Below are 22,947 nucleotides of genomic sequence, written 5' to 3' on the forward strand. Positions count from 1 at the left end.
ATTTGGGTTGGTTCCAAGTGTTTGCTGTTGTGAACAGTGCCACAATAAACATGCATGTACATGTGTCTTTATAGTAGAATGATTTATAATCCTTTGGGTATAAACCCAGTAATAGGATTGCTGGGTCAAATGGTATTTCTGGTTCTAGCTCCTTGAGGAATCGCCACACTGTCTTCCACAATGGTTGAACTAATTTACCCTCCCACCAACAGTGTAAAAGCTTTCCTATTTCTCCACATCCTCTCCAGCATCTGTTGTTTCCTGACTTTTTCATGATCACCATTCTAACTGGCTTGAGATGGTATCACATTGTGGTTTTGATTTGCATTTCTCTAATGACCAGTGATGACGAACTCTTTTTCATGTTTTTCGGCTGCATAAATGTCTCCTTTTGAGGAGTTTTATATCCTTAACCCACTTTTTGATAGGGTTGTTTTTTTCTTGTAAATGTAAGTTCTTTGTAGATTCTGAATATTAATCCTAAGTCAGATGGATAGATTGAAAAAATTTTCTCCCATTCTGTAGGTTGCCTGTTCACTCTGATGGTAGTTTCTTTTGCTGTGCAGAAGCTCTTTAGTTTAATTAGATCCCATTTGTCAATTTTGGCTTTTGTTGCCATTGCTTTTGGTGTTTTATTCATGAAGTCTTTGCCCATGCCTATGTCCTGAGTGGTATTGCCTAGGTTTTTTTCTAGCATTTTTATGGTTTTAGGTCCTACGTTTACATCTTTAATTCATCTTTTTTGTATAAGGTGTAAGGAAGGGGTTCAGTTTCAGTTTTCTGCGTATGGCTAGCCAGTTTTCCCAACACCATTTATTAAATAGGGAATCCTTTCCCCATTGCTTGTTTTGATGAAGTCAGGTAGTGTGATGCCCCCAGCTTTGATCTTTTTGCTTAGGATTGTCTTGGCTATAATGGGCTCTTTTTTTGGTTCCGTATGAAATTTAAAGTAGTTTTCTCTAATTCTGTGAAGAATGTAATGGTAGCTTGATGGGGATAGCATTCACTCTATAAATTACTTTGGGCTGTATGGCCATTTTCATGATATTGATTCTTCCTATCCATGAGCATGGAATGCTTTTCCATTTGTTTGTGTCCTCTCTGATTTCCTTGAGCAGTGGTTTGTAGTTCTCCTTGAAGAGGTCCTTCACATCCCTTGTAAGTTGGATTCCTAGGTGTTTTATTCTTTTTGAAGCAATGGCAAATGGGAGTTCACTCGTGATTTGGCTGTTTTTCTATTATTGGTGTATAGAAATGCTTGTAATTTTTGCACATTGATTTTGTATCCTGAGACTTTGCTGAAGTTGCTTATCAGCTTAAGGAGATTTTGGGCTGAGATGATGGGGTTTTCTAAATATACAATCATGTCATCTGCAAACAGAGACAATTTGACTTCCTCTTTTCTTAATTGAATACACTTTATTTCTTTTTCTTGCCTGATTGCCCTGGCCAGAAGTTCCAATATTATGTTGACTAGGAGTGGGGAGAGAGGGCATCCTTGTCTTGTGCTGGTTTTCAAAGGAAATGCTTCCGGTTTTTGCCCATTCAGTAAGATATTGGCTGTGGGTTTGTCACAAATAGCTCTTATTATTTTGAGATACGTCCCATCAATACGTGGTTCATTGAGAGTTTTTAGCATGAAGGGGTGTTGAATTCTACTGAAGGTCTTTTCTGCATCTATTGAGATAATCCTGTGGTTTTGTCATTGGTTCTGTTTATGTGATGGATTATGTTTATTGATTTGCATGTGTTGAACCAGCCTTGCATCCCAGGGATGAAGCCAGCTTGATCATGGTGGAAAAGCTTTTTGATGTGCTGCTGGATTTGGTTTGCCAGTGTTTTACTGAGGATTTTCACATCAATATTCATCAGAGATATTGGGCTGAAATTTTCGTTTTTGGTTGTGTCTCTGCCAGGTTTTGGTATCAGGATGATGCTGGCCTCATAAAATGACTTAGGGAGGAGTCCTTCTTTTTCTTTTGTTTGGAATAGTTTCAGAAGGAACAGTACAAGCACCTCCTTGTTCCTCTGGTAGAATTTGGCTGTGAATCCATCTAGTCCTTGAATTTTTTTGGTTGGTAGGCTATTAATTACTGCCTGAATTGCAGAACTTGTTATTGGTCTATTCAGGGATTCAACTTCTTCCTGGTGTAGACTTGGGAGGGTATATGTGTCCAGGAATTTATCCATTTCTTCTAGATTTTCTAGTTTATTTGCATAGAGGTGTTTAAAGTATTCTCTGATGGTAGTTTGTATTTCTGTGGGATCAGTGGGGAAATCCCCTTTATCTTTTTTTATTGCATCTATTTGATTCTTCTCTCTTTTATTAGTCTGGCTACTGGTCTATTTTGTTGATCTTTAAAAAAAAAAACAGCTCCTGGATTCATTGATTTTTTGAAGGGTTTTTTTTGCGTCTTTATTTCCTTCAGTCCTGCTCTGATCTTAGTTATTTCTTGTCTTCTGCTAGCTTTTGAATTTGTTTGCTTTTGCTTCTCTAGTTCTTTTAATTGTGATGTTAGGGTGTTGATTTTAGATCTTTCCTGCTTTCTCTTGTGGGCATTTAGTGCTATAAATTTCCCTCTTAACACTGTTTTAGCTGTGTCCCAGAGATTCTGGTACATTGTGTCTTTGTTCTCATTGGTTTCAAATAACTTATTTATTTCTGCCTTAATTTCATTATTTACCCAGTAGTCATTCAGGAGCAGGTTGTTCAGTTTCCATGTAGTTGTGTGGTTTTGAGTTTCTTAATCCTGAGTTCTAATTTGATTGCACTGTGGTATGAGATATTGTTTGTTATGATTTCCATTCTTTTGCATTTGCTGAGGAGTGTTTTACTTCTAATTATGTGGTCACTTTTAGAATAAGTGCTATGTGATGCTGAGAAGAATGTATATTCTGTTGATTTGGGGTGGAGAGTTCTGTAGATGTCTGTTAGTTCTGCTTGGTCCAGAGCTGAGTTAAAGTCCTGAATATCCTTGTTAATATTCCTGTCTAATATTGACAGTGTTAGTCTCCCACTATTATTGTGTGGGAGTCTAAGTCTCTTTGTAGGTCTCTAAGGACTTGCTTTATGAATCTGGGTGCTTCTGTACTGGGTGCATATATATTTAGGATAGTTAGCTCTTCTTGTTGAATTGATCCCTTTACCATTATGTAATGGCCTTCTTTGTCTCTTTTGATCTTTATTGGTTTAAAGTCTGTTTTATCAGAGACTAGGATTGCAAGCCCTGCTTTTGTTTTTGCTCTCCATTTGCTTGGCAAATATTCCTCCATCTCTTTATTTTGAGCCTATGTGTGTCTTTGCATGTGTGATGAGTCTCCTGAATACAGCACACTGATGGGTCTTGACTCTTTATCCAATTTGCCAGTCTGTGTCTTTTAATTGGGGCATTTAGTCCATTTACATTTAAGGTTAATATTGTTATGTGTGAATTTGATCCTGTCATTATGATGCTAGCTGGTTATTTTGCCCATTAATTGATGCAGTTTCTTCATAGTGTCGATGGTCTTTACTATTTGGTATGTTTTTGCAGTGGCTGGTATCTGTTGTTCCTTATCATGTTTTGTACTTCCTTCAGGAGCTCTTGTAAGGCAGACCTGGTGGTGACAAAATCTCTCAGCATTTGCTTGTCTGTAAAGGATTTTATGTCTCCTTCATTTACGAAGCTTAGTTTGGCTAGATATGAAATTCTGGGTTGAAAATTATTTTAAGAATGTTGAATATTGGCCCCCACTCTCTTCTGGTTTGTAGGGTTTCTGCCAAGACATCCACTTTTAGTCTGATGGGCTTCCCTTTGTAGGTAACCTGACCTTTCTCTCTGGCTGCCTTAAGATTTTTTCCTTCATTTCAACCTTGGTGAATCTGACAATTATATGTCTTGGGGGTTGCTCTTCTTGAAGAGTATCTTTGTGGTGTTCTCTGTATTTCCTGAATTTGAATGTTGGCCTGTCTTGCTAGGTTGGGGGAGTTCTCCTGGATAATATCCTGAAGAGTGTTTTCCAACTTGGTTTTATTCTCCCCATCACTTTCAGGTATGCCAATCAGACATAGATTTGGTCTTTTCATATAGTCCCATATTTCTTGGAGGCTTTGTTCATTCCTTTTTATTCTTTTTTCTTTAATTTTGTCTTCATGCTTTATTTCATTAAGTTGATCTTCAATCTGTGATATCTTTCTTCCACTTGATTCAGCTATTGATACTTGTGTATGCTTCATGAAGTTCTCGTGCTGTGTTTTTCAGCTCCATCATGTCATTTATGTTCTTCTCTAAACTGGTTATTCTAGTTAGCAATTAGTCTAATCTTTTTTCAAGGTTCTTAGCTTCCTTGCATTGGGTTAGAACATGGTCCTTTAGCTTCGAGGAGTTTGTTATTACCCACCTTCTGAAGCCTATTTCTGTCAATTTGTCAAGCTCATTCTCTGTCTGCTTTTGTTCCCTTGCTGGCGAGGAGTTGTGATCCTTTGGAGGAGGTGAGGCATTCTGGTGTTAGAAATTTTCAGTCTTTTTGTGCTGGTTTTTCCTCATCTTTGTGGATTTATCTACCTTTGGTCTTTGATGCTGGTGACTTTTGGATGGGGTTTTCTGTGTCTGGACATCCTTTTTGTTGATGTTGATGCTATTTCTTTCTGTTTGTTAGTTTTCCTTCTGACAGACCACTCTGCTGCAGGTCTGCTGGAGTTTGCTGGAGGTCCACTCCAGGCCCCTGTTGCCTGGGTATCTCCAGTAGAGGCTACAGAACAGTAAAGATTGCTGCCTGTTCCTTCCTCTGGAAGCTTTGTCCCAGAGGGGCACCCGCCAGATGCCAGCTGGAGCTCTCCTGTATGAAGTGTCTGTCCACCCCGGCTGGGAGGTGTCTCTCAGTCAGGAGACATGGGGGTCAGGGACCCATTTGAGGAGGCAGTCTGACCCTTAGCAGAGCTTGAACGCTGTGCTGGAAGATCCACTGCTTTCTTCAGAGCCATCAGGTAGGCACATTTAAGTCTGCTGAAGTTGCACCCGCAACCACCCCTTCCCCCACGTGCCCTGTCCCAGGGTTATGAGCCGCTGATTTGGGCTGCTGCCTTTCTTTCAGAGATGCCCTGCCCAGAGAGGAGAAATCTGGAGACGCAGTCTGGCTGCAGTGGCTTTGCGGAGCTGCGGTGGGCGTCTCCAAGTTCGAACTTGCTGGCAGCTTTGTTTACACCGTGAGGGTAAAACCGCCTACTCACACCTCAGTAATGGCAGATGCCCCTCCCCTCACCAAGCTCGAGTGTCCCAGGTCAACTTCAGACTGCTGTGCTGGCACTGAGAATTTCAAGCCAGTGGATGTTAGCTTGCTGGACTCTGTGGGGGTGGGATCGGCTGAGCAAGACAACTTGGCTCCCTGGCTTCAGCCCTCTTTCCAGGGGAGTGAACAGTTCTGTCTCACTGGCGTTCCAGGAGCTGCTGGGGTATGGAAAAAAAAAAAAAAAAAAAAAAAAAAACTCCTGCAGCCAGCTCAGTGTCTGCCTAAATGGCTGCCCGGTTTTGTGCTTGAAACCTAGGTCCCTTGTGGTGTAGGCACTGGAGGGAATCTCCTGGTCTGCGGGTTGGAAAGACTATGGAAAAGCATAGTATCTGGGTCAAAGTGCACCCTTCCTCATGGCACAGTCCCTCTGGGCTTCCCTTGGCTAGGGGAGGGAGTTCCCCGACCCCGTGCGCTTCCTGGGTGAGGCGACGCCCCACCCTGCTTTGGCTCGCCCTCCGTGGGCTGCACCCACTGTCTCACCAGTCCCAATGAGATTAACTGGGTACCTCAGTTGGAAATGCAGAAATCACTTACCTTTTGCATTAATCTCCCTGGGAGCTGTAGACTGGAGCTGCTCCTATTCGGCCATTTTGCCTGCAATCCAGGATTTATATTTTTAGAGAGTCAGTCCATGATAGATTACCTTGTAGTTTTGTGGAGAGGATGTTATCATCGTTCCTGATTTAGGGGAAAATGCTAAGAAAATAAGTGATTTTCAAAACCTTGCCATGATTCCATCAGTAATGGAGTTTGCACTGGTACTGGGAACCTCCAGGTATTGACTTGAGACCACATGCTTATATGGTGTCAGTTCTCTTCAACGGAAGTGTTTTTAAGCTTTCCAAAATTTCCATAAAAACAAAAATGGATGGTAGTCTTTTTTCTTTTTGAAGAAAATTTTAGCTATCTTTACATAATAGCTGCTTAAGAACTGAAAAATAAAGCAAGGTTAAAATCTGAAGCAAGAGTACTTGTCTCAGGTTCTGTTATATAAATTAAGTGAAAAAAAAAATAGCCATGGTAGGTGGTACACACCTACATAGAAGGCTGAGGCAGGAGGATTACTTGAGCCTAGGGGTCTGAAGCCAGCTGGGGCAATATAGCAAGAGTCCATCTCTAAAAACAATAACAAACTTTAAAAATTTTGAAAAGAATAAAATAAGCATAAATGGGGAGAAATTAATTAAAAGGAGACACTAAAAAATATGTCACTGCTCCCACATCTTCTCTGCACTCCCCCAAGGTACAATATTTTTTACCTCTTCTCACCTTTATTTCCTATGGAATCCAGCCTTAACAATGGAAATTGGAAAAAGCAACTAGACACCATGGAGGAAAAAAAAAGAACAAAGAAATACATTAAGGAACTAAAGAAAGGAAGGAGAGAGGGAGGGAGGAAGAAAGGAAGGGAGGAAAAAAGAAAAATATAAAAGAAAATCTGAATGTAGAATATAAGTGGACTAACTTCCAGAGGTCAGGACCACATGGGCTGAAAACATGTTTAGAACCCGATTTTACAGGAATTCTGCACGTATCTAGAAGGGCTTTTGCCAGAAAACCGTTAAGCTTAACTAACATTCTATTGTGAATGTTTTGTGATATAAGGTCATTTTAGTCCTATATTCAAGGTCAAGAAATGTTTCTTTTTAAAATAGAACGGCACGAATCCTCCTTTGTCAAGCTCATTAACAGAAAATGATATCTTTATACTTTGTCAGTGGATTTCCAATCAATTATCATCTAATGCAAAAATAATCCCAGGAGGTAAGATTAAGTATTGTTTAAATCATGGAACCAAGACCTATAGTCAGACATGACCTCAATAATGCAAATGCGTTTGTGAATAGCTGGGAAGACAAATTCATTTATAACAACAGACGGTGTCAGGAGAAGATTAAAATATATATGCACCACATAGATGAAATAATTGTAATCAGGACAGCAGAATTACAACATTTGGAGAATTTCACTGAATAGCTGAATTTCATGTATAACACAATCAAATTTTCTGCCTCATTCACTCTCACCAGTGTTCGCTTCCTGGATGTTCTGACTAATTTAAACTATGGTTAATTGAAGACTGAAATATTCGGGAAACTATGACAGGAACAATTTGCTACGGACAGTTTCCACCTGTACTCTCAAGACTTAGAAGCCATATGGATAGAATGAAATAGGTGAGATAAATCATATTTCACTAAATGTTTGCCACAAAATTAGAGTTTTTACTTAGGAGAATATAAAGGAAGGGGCTATAAAATACTAAGGTTAAAGCATTTGTTGAAAGATGGTAATATAAATAGATACAAATTTCAGTGTTCACTGGTAGAAAAGATTTCAAGCAATTTCAAAGTTGTAATCCTTGCATTTATGTGTTATTTTCTTATAAAGGGAATTTGCCTGTTCAACTGCACTTTAAAAACCAGTCATTCTTTTCATCATGCTAAATTAGAAAATTTTCCAGGAAAACGTCTTAAATGTATTAAAGTTAGAACTATTTTTTATTTTTTATAAAACAACTATCCGTACTTGGACATTTACAGATTCTCAGTTTTCATACATAGACAGATAATTTGAAAACACTGGATACTACAACCTGTACATTTCCCCACTGACCTCTATGTCCCCATCCCTTTACATTGTAGTTCTGCATTGCTGCCAGGAGACATCAGAACCATTTTTACAATATAAATACACTGGAAGGAAGAGATTCCTGTAGAACATTAACAGAAAATGATATCTTTATTAATATGTCTTTGCTATATGTATCTTTGTAACAATGTAATATATCTTTGTAACGGTGATATCTTTGTTAATTCCTACTACTTAATGTCAAGTTAATGTCATAGGACACTTAATTTCCCCAGGCAGTGTCATATCTTTGACCAAAAGGGATGAAAATATCAAATGTTAGACCTGGAAGTAACCTGGGGGTATCCGGGGGAATAACCTCATTATGCAAATAAAGAGCCGCAGTGGTCCATTGACTACTTCTCACAGCTGACGAGTGAATATTCTCCAGGATCCCATCATTCTCGGCCCATCTCGCCCATCTCAAGTCATTTTTGCCCTCTCCCCACGTGCAGTCAGAAGACTGGAAGTGGAGGTGTGAGCAGTAGATAGAGCAGTTTATAAGACAATGTTAAGACCATGATGAAAAGACATTAGAGGAAGCAGGAAAAAAGAATATGCGACACTTAGAACAGGTAAGTGTGCTTGCCCCATCAAGCCAAGCACAGCTGTCCCTCCCCTAAGGTTAGGACCTGGCTATGTTTGTCCTATGTTCTTTCTACCTCTATGGCCTCTCTGGTGATTTAAAGGCACATTCTCTCTCCATCTCTGTCTGTTTCTCTATGAGATTATTTTCACTTTGACCATTGCCCTCATTTATTTACCCCCAGCATAATGACAACAGATTGAGAGTTAAAAATAAATCCCTTGTTTGCAATCTATAAAAAAAAAAAGCAGTTAAATTTAAGGATGGGTCAAAAAGAGAGATGATATCGCAGGTATTTTTTAAATTAGCGTTTTAGATATTTTAACCAATCACCTTTCCTTTAACTCAACTGTAGTTTCAGCTAAGGAAGTTAATGAAACAGATAGATGGGTATTTCCTGATCTATTTATTTTTCCTTTTTTTTTTTTTTTTTTGTAGGAATTGGTGGTGTCTTGGAATATCTGCTTCAGGACGATAATGAAACTAATGATTTAGGGCAGTAGAAGAAGCCGTGGGAGGAACTTTCACATTTGGCGAGGCAAGTACAATTTTGTTAGGGCTTTTTGAAACTGCATTTGAAAACTTGCTTAGCGGTTTTGTGATTCATGGTATATATCAAATTTTATTGAAAAGCTGTCAGTGAACAGGATGAGAAGTTCTCTTTTAAATACAGTCAGAGGCATTATAAAAACTAGCAATTCTAAACTTACTGCAAAATAAAAATTACCCGAAAGAACTGTCCTTCTAGAGTGCTTACATGCTTCTCTTATCAGTCAGCCAGGATTAATGATCAGTTCAAAAGTCTTCATATTGTTTTGTCCATCCGTCCACCTGTCTGTCCATCCACCCGATGGCTATTGTGTGCAGGATTTCATGCTAAGTAATATGTGAAAGTATTCTAGGCACGCTACAGCAACAGCTTGCTCACACGCTTCCTCTGTCTTCAGATAAGTCTTAAGTCCTTGATGACTTTTTAATAAAATACGCTACAGAGAACGTAAGGACGAAACATATTCCTAGCAGAGTGAAATATGTGTAAGTTATTAAATTAAGGCTCAACTACGTCTGAATTTTTAGTGCTATATGTTTTAAATTGTTTTAAGTGAAAACACACTAATAGATTTCCTTTATAAAAAGTTCAAATATTCCAGACAAAGCAAAAATATCCTTTCTAAGCAGGGTGTCTGATATGTGTCCTTCCAGACTGAAACATATACATACTCTTGGTTTTTTAATCAATAGACTCACATCATATATGTTGTGCTACATCCAGCTTTTTGCACTTAATATGTCTGGGAGATATTTCCTTTATTGTTACAGTTGTCCCAGAAATCTCTCTGTGGTTGCTAGGGAATGTACCTTTATCTTTGGTTTTAACAGTCATATTCATGTGTCAGGCAGAAATAGAAGGTATGATAATATAGATCTTGCCTAATAGTGAATATCGTGAAACAACTGTGCAGGGATTGCCAATGTTTGGTGGTTTTCTTTCTAAATTTTTGCTCACTTCTATTAAAGGGTTGAAGCATTAGCAGACAAAACTCTAAATATAGTTGGCCTGCACTGGAAGGTTAAAAGTGCAGTTCTCCTAATAGAGTTCTTATAATCACTAAGGAAAACACCATCTGAACTTTATAGCGACCAACAAATCAGGTTAGGACAGGTAATTCAGACACTCTAGCCATGAATTCTAAGGTGGATGATAGAGGCTATACCATAATCTTTCTCTCTCTGGGATAGAATGACTTTCATGGCTAATTAGTTCTATGGCCGAGAAGGTCAACTTTCTGGATGTTAGAACAAGCACATTTGTAAAAGAGAAACCATTTTAAACCCAGCAATAGTGAGTGCAAACTTATTTCAGTACTTTTTCTCCTCTTTGCAGATGATTAATCCTATTTCTGTTTCACCAACTTATTTTATGATGAAATCTTAATTATTTTCTAATAAATGACTGGGAATGCAGGAAGCTAGCTGGCCCATTTCCTCTGTTAGGTTTTTTTTCCCTTTCTCTGCACACTGGTGAAAAGACGTTGATGCATAACTTCTAGAGATGCCATGGTTATTTATGTCATTATAAACAGCTTATTCTAACTGGGACCCCACAGCCACAAGGAAAAACATACAATTTTATTTACAAAGAAGACTGAACCCATTTTAACTTCTGTATCAAATGCTCTGAGTAGGTTGGCTTCGATAGTCATGTTCAGTCCTGGGTAGAATGTGGTCTCATTATACAACTTCACCACCAAATCCTAGTTCTCGATGTTATCCAAAGCTGCCTTCTTCCTCAAAGACCTCAGTCCCCTCCCAAAGCCCAGGGGAGCGTAAACAAATCCCTCTCTCTCAGGGTTACATGAAAAGCCAAGTCATCATCCAACACAATAAAATAAGCTGGTGAAGGAAAGAACCAATCAAATCTCTTTGATTCTGGACTTAGGGAAAGCACTTAGGAAACCTCATAGTCTGCCCGTCAGAGGGGAAAAAACGCTCCAATTAAATGGGAACAGTACTCATTTTAAGCACTCTAAAATGTTAAGATTTAAAAAATACAGTGCTTAACGTTCTGTAGAGCTACAACAAAGAATATGCTAACCTTGGTATTTACACACCAAGCTTCTGCCAAGCCATTTTATAATGTACCTTAGAAAAATTTCATGCTTTCTCACAAAAAGACACCCCCTCCCTCCCCTGCTGTTGGCCTGCACGTTCCCAGGCATGTGAATTGCAATCCTTTTGAAGTCCAGTGATGCTGGTAGCTTGAAGGGAAAGCTCTTGCCAATAATATTGTTGCTCCTGATGCTCAGAACTGTTGCTGCTGAATGGCTTATTTTCTATCTTGATATTTTCTCTATATGACTTTGGCTGAATAGGCCACTTTTTCGTCAAGCTAGTTTCATGTGTGTTGTCTGTGTTCTAGAAAATGGAATTAACTACCACTTTCTAGTTCCATTTCCATGATCTTTACCTAAACAACACCCTCTCGTTAATAAAACATTATGCCTTTGCATTCCATTAAAACCCATTATTGGGAGTTTAAACTATTGATTCTGAATATATATATATATATATATATATATATATATATATATTCTACTTTTTGTGTGGCTGCAGAAATACTTTGCTATTACTCTAATTATATGCTGGAGTTAGAATCCTTCCAGCTAGTTAAGGTTGGAAGGATTCTAGTTATGCTGTCTACTGTATTCTTCTTTGTAGCATAACTAGAGTACTGTCCACTGGAGTGAAATAATAGAAGCAGAAACTCAGATTTAAAAAGAAAGGAAACAGAGAAAGAAAGGTTTTTAATAAAAATTTACTTATTTAGAGATGGGGCCTTGCTCTGTCACCCAGGCTGTAGTGCAGTGGCAGGATCATAGCTCACTGCAGCCTCAAACTCCTGGGCTTAAGTAATCCTCCCACCTCAGCCTCCCAAATAGCTGGAACTGCAAGTACCTGACACTATGCCTGGCTAACTTAAAACATTTTTTTGTTTAGAGATGGTGATCTTGCTGTTTTGCCCAAGTTGGTCTCAAACTCCTGGCCTCAAGCCATCCTTTGTCCTTGGCCTCCTGAGTAGTTTGGATTACAGGGATGAACCACTGTGCCTGGCTAGAAAGATTTTAAGAATAGCTTAGAACAGCACCAAAAAATGCAATTATTAGAATTTAAAACTTCAGAGTTTAAACAGAGATCTAAGAGACTGTCTGGTTGACCCCTTTATTTTACACATTAAGAGAAATTATAGAGACATTAAAAAAAAACTCTCTTAAATCCCATAACTGGGTTAGTACTAGAGGGGACCAAACCTGCTACTTGATTCAGTCAGAGATCTTCCAAATTTACACATTCAATATGGGAGGCAAAATTTTAAAACTCAGCTGTGGGACAAACATACTGCCTTAAATTTTTTTTTAAATTTTTAAATCTATGGAAAATGTGTCCTAAATATATAATTGTAATATTAAGAATAGCTCTCAAAGTTCTATTTATGTCGATTACATAAATGATACACTCTAAAAAACATTTATGAATACGCATTACCATTATTCGTGGTGTCTCAGATCTCTGATGAGTATGGTTGTGTGTGTATCTGTGTAAGTACACAAATACCTTTGAGAGAGAATGGAGAAAATGGATTCAGGTACAATCAGAATCTCCCAAACTGTCTATTTCTGGCAACCACTTTGACAAGGATAGCTTTTTGAAGTTTAGCAGTGTTTGCTCTCTTTCTCTAGTTGGTGATTATATATTCAATGGCAATTTAAATGGGAAGTAGGGATGTAGGGCCAGTTAATTTATGTGTTGCAATTCATCTTTCTACCTATCAATCTGGTTGTGTTTAGGGGAACAATAAGCAGTACCTCTTTGTCCTCCCAGTTTCTGTACAAAATGAGAAATGAAATAGAAGAGCTAGGAGAGGAAAAGCAGCTGGTAGAGCTCTATGTCCATGGAAGGAAACAAGGAGTTGGGGAAGAACATTGCCACTTTTCTTACACATATTGACCTCCTGCTGTGGTCCAGGCACTATGCAAGGGACAGAAGATACAACAATCCTTGCCTTTTAAGAGCTCAAAGGAAAGCGGATGAATTAGATTTACAATAAATACTTATGGTACTATGTATTAAGTGCTGTAATAGAGACATGCAAAAAATCTAGGACCATAAGCTCTAGAACGTTGAACTGTGTCTGGAAATAACCATGTGTGCCCTGGGAAATGGGCAGTGTTCTTTGAGATGTTCAGCTTTACGTTTGTGTTTTCAAAAGGCTAGACATTTTCTGATGCTGGGAGAGGGTATCATCTATGTTTGTTTCATTTTGGAAATGTGTACCTATGTTCTTGCTTGCAAATAGAAAGTATTTTTATAATTAAAAATATTTATAAATAAATATTAATAAATATCTTCTGTAGGTTAAGAATTTCCCATGTTCGCATTATTTCTTTTTACCTTCTTTCCTGTGAAAGAGAATGAATGAGTTCAAACCGATTTCTCAGTAGCAATAAGGAAAGAATAACCTCAATTCAGTATTCTGAACAAGAACTCCAATTAGTTTAACAATTGAATCAACCAGTTCCTTTAAGATTTTCATTTGCTCATTGGCGTTGAAACTAAACATTGGTTTTGACATTCCTTAAATATACCCTACTCCTACTGTACTATATACCATATTTTTTCACATGTTCTTTATATTACTGTAAGCATGCCAGAGCTCAAAATTAATATTTTTAGTATTCTATTCAGCATTGTGGTGCCTGGCATGTTGTGTGTGCCCAGCATATTTTGAAAATAACCTAGAGTTTAATTAATTCACCGGAAAGTGCCATTTGAATCAGCAACCTGTACCATACTTGAAGTGAGAAGGAGAACTTCCTCTGGGATCCTGGACTCAAAAATTTTTTTAACACCAAGTTGCCCTTTCCCAGGTTGCCAATGTCTAGTGTGGTCTAGGAAATAAAGGGGCAAGTGACCTATTTGTTGGACTTTTAGACAGTTCCTTCTGAGGATCCTGTGGTTTTGAGTGTCCCAGACCCTGGGCGGTTGGCACAGCATCAGCATTGCCAGTGTGTGAAGTACTGACTTGAGGCTATGTAGATACATTTGCCTACTAGGTTAGTTTGAAAAAAGCGATTTAACCTTGTATGTAGTTAAAATACCATATATTTCTAACTTAATAGCTTTCTGCTACTGTAATTTTTGTAGTACTTGTATTTTCAACTACATAAATAAATTGGCTGTGATGGGCTATCCTAGGAACTTAACTACCAATTATAATATTGTTTCTGTGGAAATATAGATTTTTGAGTTCTAAACAATAGCCTGATAAATGAACGTTTGGAACATAATCCTTCTGTAGGTTAAGAATTTCCCATGTTTGCATTTTTATTATTTCTTTTTACCTTCTTTCCTATTATCTCTTTCCAATGCTGAGGTCTAATGGTGATTGAGTGCGATTATAAACACACTATCTAGCTGCCATTCTTTTGAGGTAGCAGATACTAAAATAGCATGATATAATATAATGGGACATGGAGATAATAGCTACACATTTCCTACTTTTCAGCAGTGGCAGAAAAATAATTGAGGCGATATTTGTGAATACTAGGAAGAAATGTGCTATACTGAAATCTGAATGTCATTATTCTCCCATACGCTGTATGAGGAAGAAAAATGTAAACATCATTATTGTTCTTCTCACTCCTTTCATTTGAGACTGAGTGAGCTTTCAGAGCCCTTTATTCTGAACAATCTAATTGGGCATTTCTCAAATACCTATGGATGGTAGCTTCTATAATCCCATTGCTTTCATGTGTGAAATGTGTACAGTATTTGTAAATTTAACAAGATAGGGAAAAAATCAGTTTCAACCCCGGGGGAAAATAACTATCAAAGGCAAGCAAGATGCATTCCTCGACAAGAAGCTTGTAAAAGCAGAAGGTCTGTTTAAGAAACGTTTTGCCACATGAGGAGGCTGGCTAGGTGGTGGGAGGGGATACTTAGAGATCTACTGACCTTCTCCCTCAATAAGCTCTTGACATAGATGACCATACCCAGGGAATATTAGCAAATGTGGGGTGTATTTAGCATGTTCTGCAAACATGGGTTATTTAACCTTTCCCATCTGCCTTGTTCTTTCTCTCCAACTAGAAGCAATAGCAAAGCTCTGGCAAAGGCTGGCAAGGAGAAAAATAAAAGCTGAAACTTCTAATCAAACCTCTAATCAGAAAGATGACAACTAGTGAAGATTATTAAATTTTCTTTGCTTCCTTGATGAATTTAATAAAGAACTAATCAAAGATCATTAGAAGGCTTTTGTGCCTGGCTTGCATTGTAGCTGGATTGCAATCTGAATTTGTGTTTTAGTGGGCTTCCAGGGGTTGGGTTGGACATGTAAATATATTAAAAACTATAGAAGGTTAGACAGTTTTTAGAATTTTTAGTTAATGTAAAAGCCCATGAAAATGTATTAGCTATTTATTGTGCTCATCTACTCTGCCAACTAAAAATATAGGATTTTAATTTTGATCTTTAGTAATTAGAATTTAAAAATTTGTATCAGTGTCTAGCTCAAAAATTTTCTAATGATCTTTGATTAGTTCTTTTCTTAAATTAACAGGAAAATAAAAAATGGTATCATTTAATTTCTAGAGCATAAAAATATGTAAATAACTCTAACTACCAGAGCCACTAGAAATTTATAGAAAATTATAGAAATATCTGAAGAGGTTTCTTATCCTCCCTCCTCAATTCTGAACATTTGCCTAATGTTCCTTGTTTTCAAATGATCTCCCCATAGCCTTCCAACTTTAAGTACTACATTTTAAATACTGCATTTATAGTGTCTCAAACTATGCATTTTGATTTCCTGATTTATGACCCATGTATCCCATCCATTTCCAGTGCTCAGTTTTTCAAGCCCCATTGTCTGGTTGGTCTAATGCAGTCTCCTCCTCACTCTCCCCAAGCACAGATTCCCAGTAACTTAGGATTTCTGTCAATTATTACATTCTCCCATCTCAAAAAGCCTCCCAGCCCTCTGAATTTATGACATTTGGTTTTGATTTGTTTTAGCTGCAAAATACCTCTGTGATCATAAAGTAATTGGCTCTTGTTAACATAAAAACTTAAAACTTGCTTTGTTTTTTTTTTAAGTATTGGTTATATACTTAATAAAGTAGTTCTTAGGTTCTCACCTATCTTTTTCTGCCAGAATAGAAAAAATTATTCTGGAATTACCAGAACAAAGGCAACAAAAGAAATAGTAGGCCCTTTTATCAGATTCCGCAGATAAACTTTAATTAGTCTTGTGCTATCTATTTATAGCAAAATTAGGTATTTAAAGGCAGTAACTCAAATCTGAATACATATTACAGGAAATCTATTTCTGTAGTAGTTCCTACATTTCTTTTTTATGAGTTAAAACATTTCATGACTATTTAAAGTATATAGAAGAATTTTAAAAAATGTACAGAGATGGGTAGTGTAAAACTCTACACATATTAGATGAGTCAGACTCTTTCACTAAGTACTGGTAGAGGCAATCAACACTGTAACTCTGAATCATAGCCCTCTTTTGGACAAAGGAAAAGTAGCTCGGAGCTCTGAGACTAGACTCTGAGCTGTTCACATTCAATGCTGAATTAAATGTCAAATTTCCAGACAACCTTGGAAAAGAATGCTTTAATTTAAAAAACTTTTAGCTAACTCTCAGCACCATTCTACTTACAAGGGCCAAATATTAAGACAGTTAACTCTTAGGTAGAAGTGACTTGAAATTAAGTCTATAGGAACTTCAGTTCTATAATGATATCTATCTTCAGCACAGTCCTGAAGACGTTTGTCTAAAACTGTTCATGTTTCTGATGAAGATGCTGCCTATCTTATTTAACATTCCTGGTGCCCTTTGATCTTGGAGATTTAAATTTCTCTTTCACCTGAAAGACATCTTTCAGGCAGTGCAGGCAGGCTGGAAACGAATTCTCTCAGCTGTTATTCTTCAGCAAATGTCTTTATTTAACTCTTGTTTACGGAGGCTCTTTCTGCTGGATATAAAACTGAGATGACAGTTTTTTCTTTCAGTACTTTAAGAAAGTCATTTCATTGTCTTCTGGACTCCATTGTTTCTGATGAGAAGTAAGTGATCATTCTTGTTTTTGTCCCATTGTATATAAAGTACCTTTTTTTTCTCTTTGGCTGCTTTTAAGATTTTTTTTCTTTATCTTGGTTTTCAGCAGTTTAGCTCTAACGTGCCTAGGTGCAGATTTCCTTGTATGTGTCCCGTGTGGGTTCGTTGAAATTCTTATATGTGTAAGTCAGTGTTTCTCTTCAAATGTGGGGAGTTCGGGGCCATGATTTCTTCCAATTATTTTTGCCTCAAATTATTTTCTTCTACTAGGACTCAATTACCTGTAAGCTAGGCTGCTTGATATTATCTCCTTGAAACTCTGCTTATTTTTCTTCTCTCTACTCTCCAGATTCAGGCATGTCTATTGGTTTGTATCTAAGTTCATTGACTCTCTATGTTAAGTCTGATCTGCTGTTAGGCTCAATTTTTATTTCAGTTACTATACTTTTCAGTTCTAGAATGTTCATATAGTTGTATTTGTAGTTTCCATTTATCTGCTGTTTTCCATTTGATTACTCATTAAGATCATATTTTTGAGTCTTTTAATGTGATTTTTATTTGTATGTCTAGTGATTAAATAGTGAACACTGTGGACAACACACTGTAGATAGTCTAGATTCTGTAGTCTTCCTCTAAAAATGGTTGTTTCATATTTGAGGTGGCAGTTCATTTAATGGCTTATTACTTTAACTTGTGTAGACTTAGTGTTTTGCATTGCTAGTATAGATCTGTGGACAGTCCAAGGTGTTTTCAAGATCTTCTAACCTTTCAGTAGTCACTTTCCAAACTGTGTCTCCTGTATAAATCTTGTCGGGGTTTGGTTTCAGGCTTTGTTGGGGTGAGTCTAGAGTTGGTCTTTCTCAAGGGGCATATTCCTTAATCCTAATATGTGCACTTTGTGGTGTCTCAGAGCTGGATGTCAGGAGTTTTAACAAGATGTTAATAAATCTCTCCTCTCTGGCAGGGCCAGAACTCTGACATCTCTGCCACTGCTTTTCCCCAAGCACTGCTCAACCTCTAGAATCTTGGTTCCACTTTCAACTGCATAGCATCTGACATCTAGTAAAGCTCGGGTCGCCTCACACTGCACATGTACAATCCAACTCTCAGTCACTGATTTGCAGGAGATCCCTGCTGGATTCTGGGGTCCTCTCTCTCTACATAGCTCCCTCCATTCAGGCTCCATAGTTTCTACTTGCTTCAGTTACCCTGAACGCTGATGTCTGCCTCCCCAGCTCAACAGGACTGCCATGCTCTGCTCAGACTCCAGGTCTCTGTACCATGGTCAGGAAATTGTCTCCAGGCACAGAGCTGAGGCAATCATGTAGCTTACCTCATGCACTTCCCTTCTCTCAAGGAGCACAGCCTTACAGTGCTTGTTATCCACTGCCTGAAATCGGATGCTTCACATATTCTGTCCCGTTTTAGAGTAGTTTTGGGCTAGTACAGTATCAGTCATCCCATTATGGTTAGAGATGGAAGTTCAGGAGTCAGTATCTTGATTTCAACCCTACCTGAAATCACATTTCCACGTTGGGAAGAACATAAGAACCACAGCACTTTCTATGAAATGTCATAAAATAGGTCCCAGCCAGTTGCAAAAACTCAAAAGTTCATGTGGCTTAAAATCATATAGGCTATGCCTAGCAAAATGCCCGATATGCCCGACAGAAGCATGTAGTTTTATAAATTATTAAGTCATTTGCTGGATACAGAAAGAAAGGAGGAAGAACCCACTCCTTAGAGTTATGACTTATCTACCAATTAACTCTATGATCTTGGGCCTACAGCTATATTTAACTTGTCTTTGGGATCACTGGAGTAACTTCATTGAACACTAAGAAAACCTAGTTAGAAATTTGTATTTGTAATTTGCTTTGATTATGTCCTCTGAAAGATACTTTCCAAAATGAGACATGATTGTTGTGGTTTTCTTCCAGAATTAAACAGGTTTCCAAGTTGGCAACTGGGATGACAACTTGGGAGGGCTTCTCCCAATTTCAGAAAGAGCTTTATTCCCATAAGTGTATTAAATTCATGTAGAAAGAAAAGAACCAACAACAGAAGACAAATGTGGGTAGCAAATAGCAGTTTGGGAGTGTCAAGGAGGTGGGAGAAGGACTTTCAGTTAAGAAAACGATACAAATACATACATATGTACATAATGTCATGTGAGTGATTAAACTGTCCTTTCTCCAGAGAGCAATATTAAGGTTTTCAGAGGCCAAAACAGTATACTAATGCAATATAATTATACCTTTGGGTGAAACATCAAAGATGCAATGAGTGAGAGCTAAGGAGGCTACAACCCAGCTGAAATGCCATTATTTAATGAAAGACCAACAGATGCAACAAGAACACTTACCACCATGGTCTAGTGTTCCCTCTCAGTGCAGTCTTAAGCCTAATTCCTCTTCTGCTTGGCCTTTGACCTGGTCTCTCCAGTTGACTTTTCCACAACAGTCTTCACTCACAGGCAGAGTAGAAATGGGATGCAAGAAAAACAACAGGTCCCAGATCACTTTTTTCCTCTTTCTCTATTCCTCTTTCAGTTATGAATTCTGTTTTGCTTTGGAGAAGAAAAATGCGATCCCCCTGGATATTTTTTCTGGGCCATCACCAATTTATCCTGTTCCCCCTACCCACCCCTGCCAGTATTTTATACTTTACTCTTCAAAAACTTGAGATGTCTTGAGTACTGAGAAGTCTGAAGGAGTTTGTACTGGGGCCTGGCCTCCGATATTTCTGCTGGATAAGCTATTCCTTCATGCCTGACGGTGAATGTGCGTTATGGACTTGCCCAAGGAATTTCTGGAACTGGGCCTGCAAGTCTGTTTTAGATTAATGCAAATGGGATTTGGGGTAGCTGTGCCTACAAATATCCTGCAAAGATATTTTGTATCAAAATGACAATATTAAGATGAATCAACTCAATGAAGTCTTTGGGTACCGCAAAAATGTTGAATGTTGCATAATCACTTTCTGTTGATCTTTTTCTTATTACTATTATATGTGAATATACACGAGGCTTCCTGCCTTCATTGCCACAATTTAATGGGACAAACTGCAGGCACACAGTCCTTCCTCACTTTCTGTGCCCATTTCTCTGACATACATCATTGCTGAAGTCTGTTGTTTAAGCAGTGAAAAAAACATGTAATGTTTCATATAAGGATTATCCATAAAACCCCAAAGTCCTTAACTCTTCTGTCCTTCTGAGGCCATCCTTTTCTTTAACAGCCATCCCCTAAATTGTGGGAAGTCTAACGTGTTCTTCAATTTTCCAGCAGATTCTAGAGTTGAGACTTGGTTCTTCCCATTTTTCTCTTGCTCCTGACTTTTTCAATTTCTTCCCTCCATCTGCCCACTGCCTTTCCAGGCTGCCCCAGCCCATTCTAGTTTGCTTTGCTTCAAAATATGGACTCACCACCCTTTTCTTCATGATAATGCTCTTGTGATTAGCAGTGTGTTATTGTATTTTCTTGTTTTATATGAGCAATGTAGAGGAATGATAGCACAAAACATGGACTGACTTAAAATTGAATCCTGGTCACACTATTGCTAAAGTTTTCTGAAGTCTCCCCCTCGAGGAGTCCTTACTGGTGGCACTCTCAACTGGGTATTTCTGGGGCCTGCTCCCTGGACTCTAAGAAAGCTTTTTGTTTTCAATGTCTCTCTCTCATGGTCTGACCTTCCTCAGCCCTGCAGTGGTGGGTGGAACCCACTCCAAAATTCCTGTGACTTGATGGTGCAGAGAAACTTGGCTCTCTTTCAGGCTGACCCTCTCCTACCCAGACTCTCCTGGGGTCCACCCCCACACTCAGAAAAGCCCACTGAATGCTTTCCCAACAAAAGAGCAGTTTGCTCTTTAAGAGGAATTCTGCCACCCTCTTAGAGCAACCAGTTAAAATGACTGTCAGCTTACAATTTTTAGTTATAACCAGAGTTTCTCTAAGTTTGCAAAATGTTTTAAATAAAGCAATTTGACAGAAGATTTAATAAGGTGATAGACAAAAATGGGGGGTCCTGTTGTCAAGAGTGGTAATTCTAAATGAGGCAGGAAAAGTTATGGATAGAAGAAAAAGAGTTTGTGATTTACTGTTTCTTCCAGTGACCTCCGCAATGTGTGGAAGAGAATAGGTTAGACAGGCAGCAATAATTATCTCACTTGTAGCTTCTCAAAACCTGGAAAATAAGGCAAGGTCTGGTGGCTCATACCTGTAACCCAGTCCTTTAGGAGGCAAAGGCAGGAGGATCTCTTGAAGCCAGGAGTTCAAGACAAGGCTGGGTAACATCAAGAGACCCTCTCTCTACCAAAAATAAGAAATTGGTCAGGATAGTTGTGCGTGCCTGTAGTCCCAACTACCCCAGAGGCTGAGGTGGGAGGATCACCTGAGCCTGGGAGGTTGAGTCATGATTGCACTATTGCACTATTGCCTGGACAACAGAGCAAGACCCCATTTCAAAAAAAACAAACCTAGAAAAGAAAGCTATTCTAAATTGAAGTAACCAAGGAGCAGAGCCATAATCCACAGAGAGAGACACAGGTTCAACAGAGGCTGTGGAAAAGCAATTCCAAGCAACTTCTCATATTCCAGGAACGCAACTGAGGCCTGGGGAGCCAAAAGGCTGCTCTCAGAGGCAGGCACATTCCAGGTGTCACCTTAGGATTCCACTCGGGACCATGATGGCCCTGGGAGGGAGGGGAATGGGCTTTGCAGACTTAGACTTGACTGCATGACATCTACATCTTCAATGTTATTCTACACTGTTTAATCGGTGTAATAAATGGAACTTCCAATATTACAATATTCTAACATTCTTCGAATATTACAATATTCTAACATTCTTCGAATATTACAATATTCTAACATTCTTCGAATATTACAATATTCTAACATTCTAAGTTCCATTATTTTGCCAATTAAAAAAACTGTGTGTTAAGAGTGCTTTTGTATTTCAGGGGTTCCTGAGGACACTGAGAAAGGGAAATATATCATATGGCAATATTCCATAAAATAAATTACCTGGAGACAGTATAAAAATTTGCAAGGATACAGACACAAGGCATGTAATTATTATAAATATATAAAGAATGTATGACTACTTTTAGATATAATCACCTAATAAATTTCAAGATTGCCTTATTAACTATCTATTTGTGTTTGTATACATTGTATCATTTAAAAATAGATATGAAATAGTACTTAACAATAAAAGGTTTGTAATAAGGTTTTTGGAATCAGAATAAAGAAAAACTTTTGTCCTACTGAGGATAAGTTGTTCAATACAGTGAAGTCACATGCACATGTCTTGCTTTGGATTTACTTTCTCCCAGTTCTTACAATATCACCAAATAACAAAAATTTCTACTTACGACTTTACTTTCCTATACGTTGTCAGTTGAATTATTTTTCTGTATATTTCCACAATGTGATAAATATTTTTCAGGTTTAGGAAAAAGTCATTTAAAGCTGTTAAAATTTAAAAAGAAATCTATTCATAGCATATACTTAGTCTAATTGCCTTAAGACTCTTCTGGGACATGTAGCAATGTAAAATGGTGGATGGATAGCGGTGTACGTCTTTTCAGCAGGATAGTCTTGCAGGATGGTGGTAAAAAATAGGCAAAGAGACATACACCAAATTTTTTTTTATGAAGAAGCAGCTGCAGATTTATTGCTTTTAAATATGTAAATTTTAATTAAATCACATGTACAAAGATAGTATATATTTTTGCATTCTTCTCCTGGCCATGGACAATAGAACTCTACATTCTCCAGCCTTTGGACTCTGGGACTGGCACCAGTGGCCCCGCAGGTTCACAGGCCTTTGG

The 22,947-nt window shown here is 38.1% G+C and overlaps 2 long non-coding RNA genes across 2 annotated transcripts in view, besides 1 other annotated feature; one reads left to right on the forward strand and one right to left on the reverse strand.

The window, feature by feature from the left end:
• The window catches only part of LINC00609 (long intergenic non-protein coding RNA 609), a 94,862-nt gene extending 86,395 nt beyond the window's left edge, over positions 1-8,467 (forward strand). The window contains exons 2-3 of the long non-coding RNA NR_073454.1: positions 7,299-7,445; positions 8,291-8,467. This is a non-coding gene — a long non-coding RNA (long intergenic non-protein coding RNA 609). The remainder of the gene's footprint in view (positions 1-7,298; positions 7,446-8,290) is intronic.
• PTCSC3 (papillary thyroid carcinoma susceptibility candidate 3) overlaps positions 1-19,901 on the reverse strand; it is a 41,833-nt gene extending 21,932 nt beyond the window's left edge. Inside the window, exons 1-2 of the long non-coding RNA NR_049735.3 lie at positions 19,477-19,901; positions 5,803-5,862 (exon numbers count right to left, since the gene is read on the reverse strand). This is a non-coding gene — a long non-coding RNA (papillary thyroid carcinoma susceptibility candidate 3). The remainder of the gene's footprint in view (positions 1-5,802; positions 5,863-19,476) is intronic.
• Positions 4,867-6,066: an enhancer, noted in NCBI's record as "CDK7 strongly-dependent group 2 enhancer chr14:36630894-36632093 (GRCh37/hg19 assembly coordinates)". NCBI's record gives its function as "activates an origin of replication core promoter dependent on BRD2, BRD4, P300/CBP, MED14 and CDK7 cofactors, with strong dependence on CDK7, by STARR-seq in HCT116 cells {active_cell/tissue: HCT116}" and the evidence as "EXISTENCE:reporter gene assay evidence [ECO:0000049][PMID:35650434]".
• Positions 19,902-22,947: the final 3,046 nt, after the last annotated feature.

Source organism: Homo sapiens, chromosome 14 (assembly GCF_000001405.40).
Source record: "Homo sapiens chromosome 14, GRCh38.p14 Primary Assembly".
Classification (NCBI taxonomy): Eukaryota; Metazoa; Chordata; class Mammalia; order Primates; family Hominidae; genus Homo; species Homo sapiens.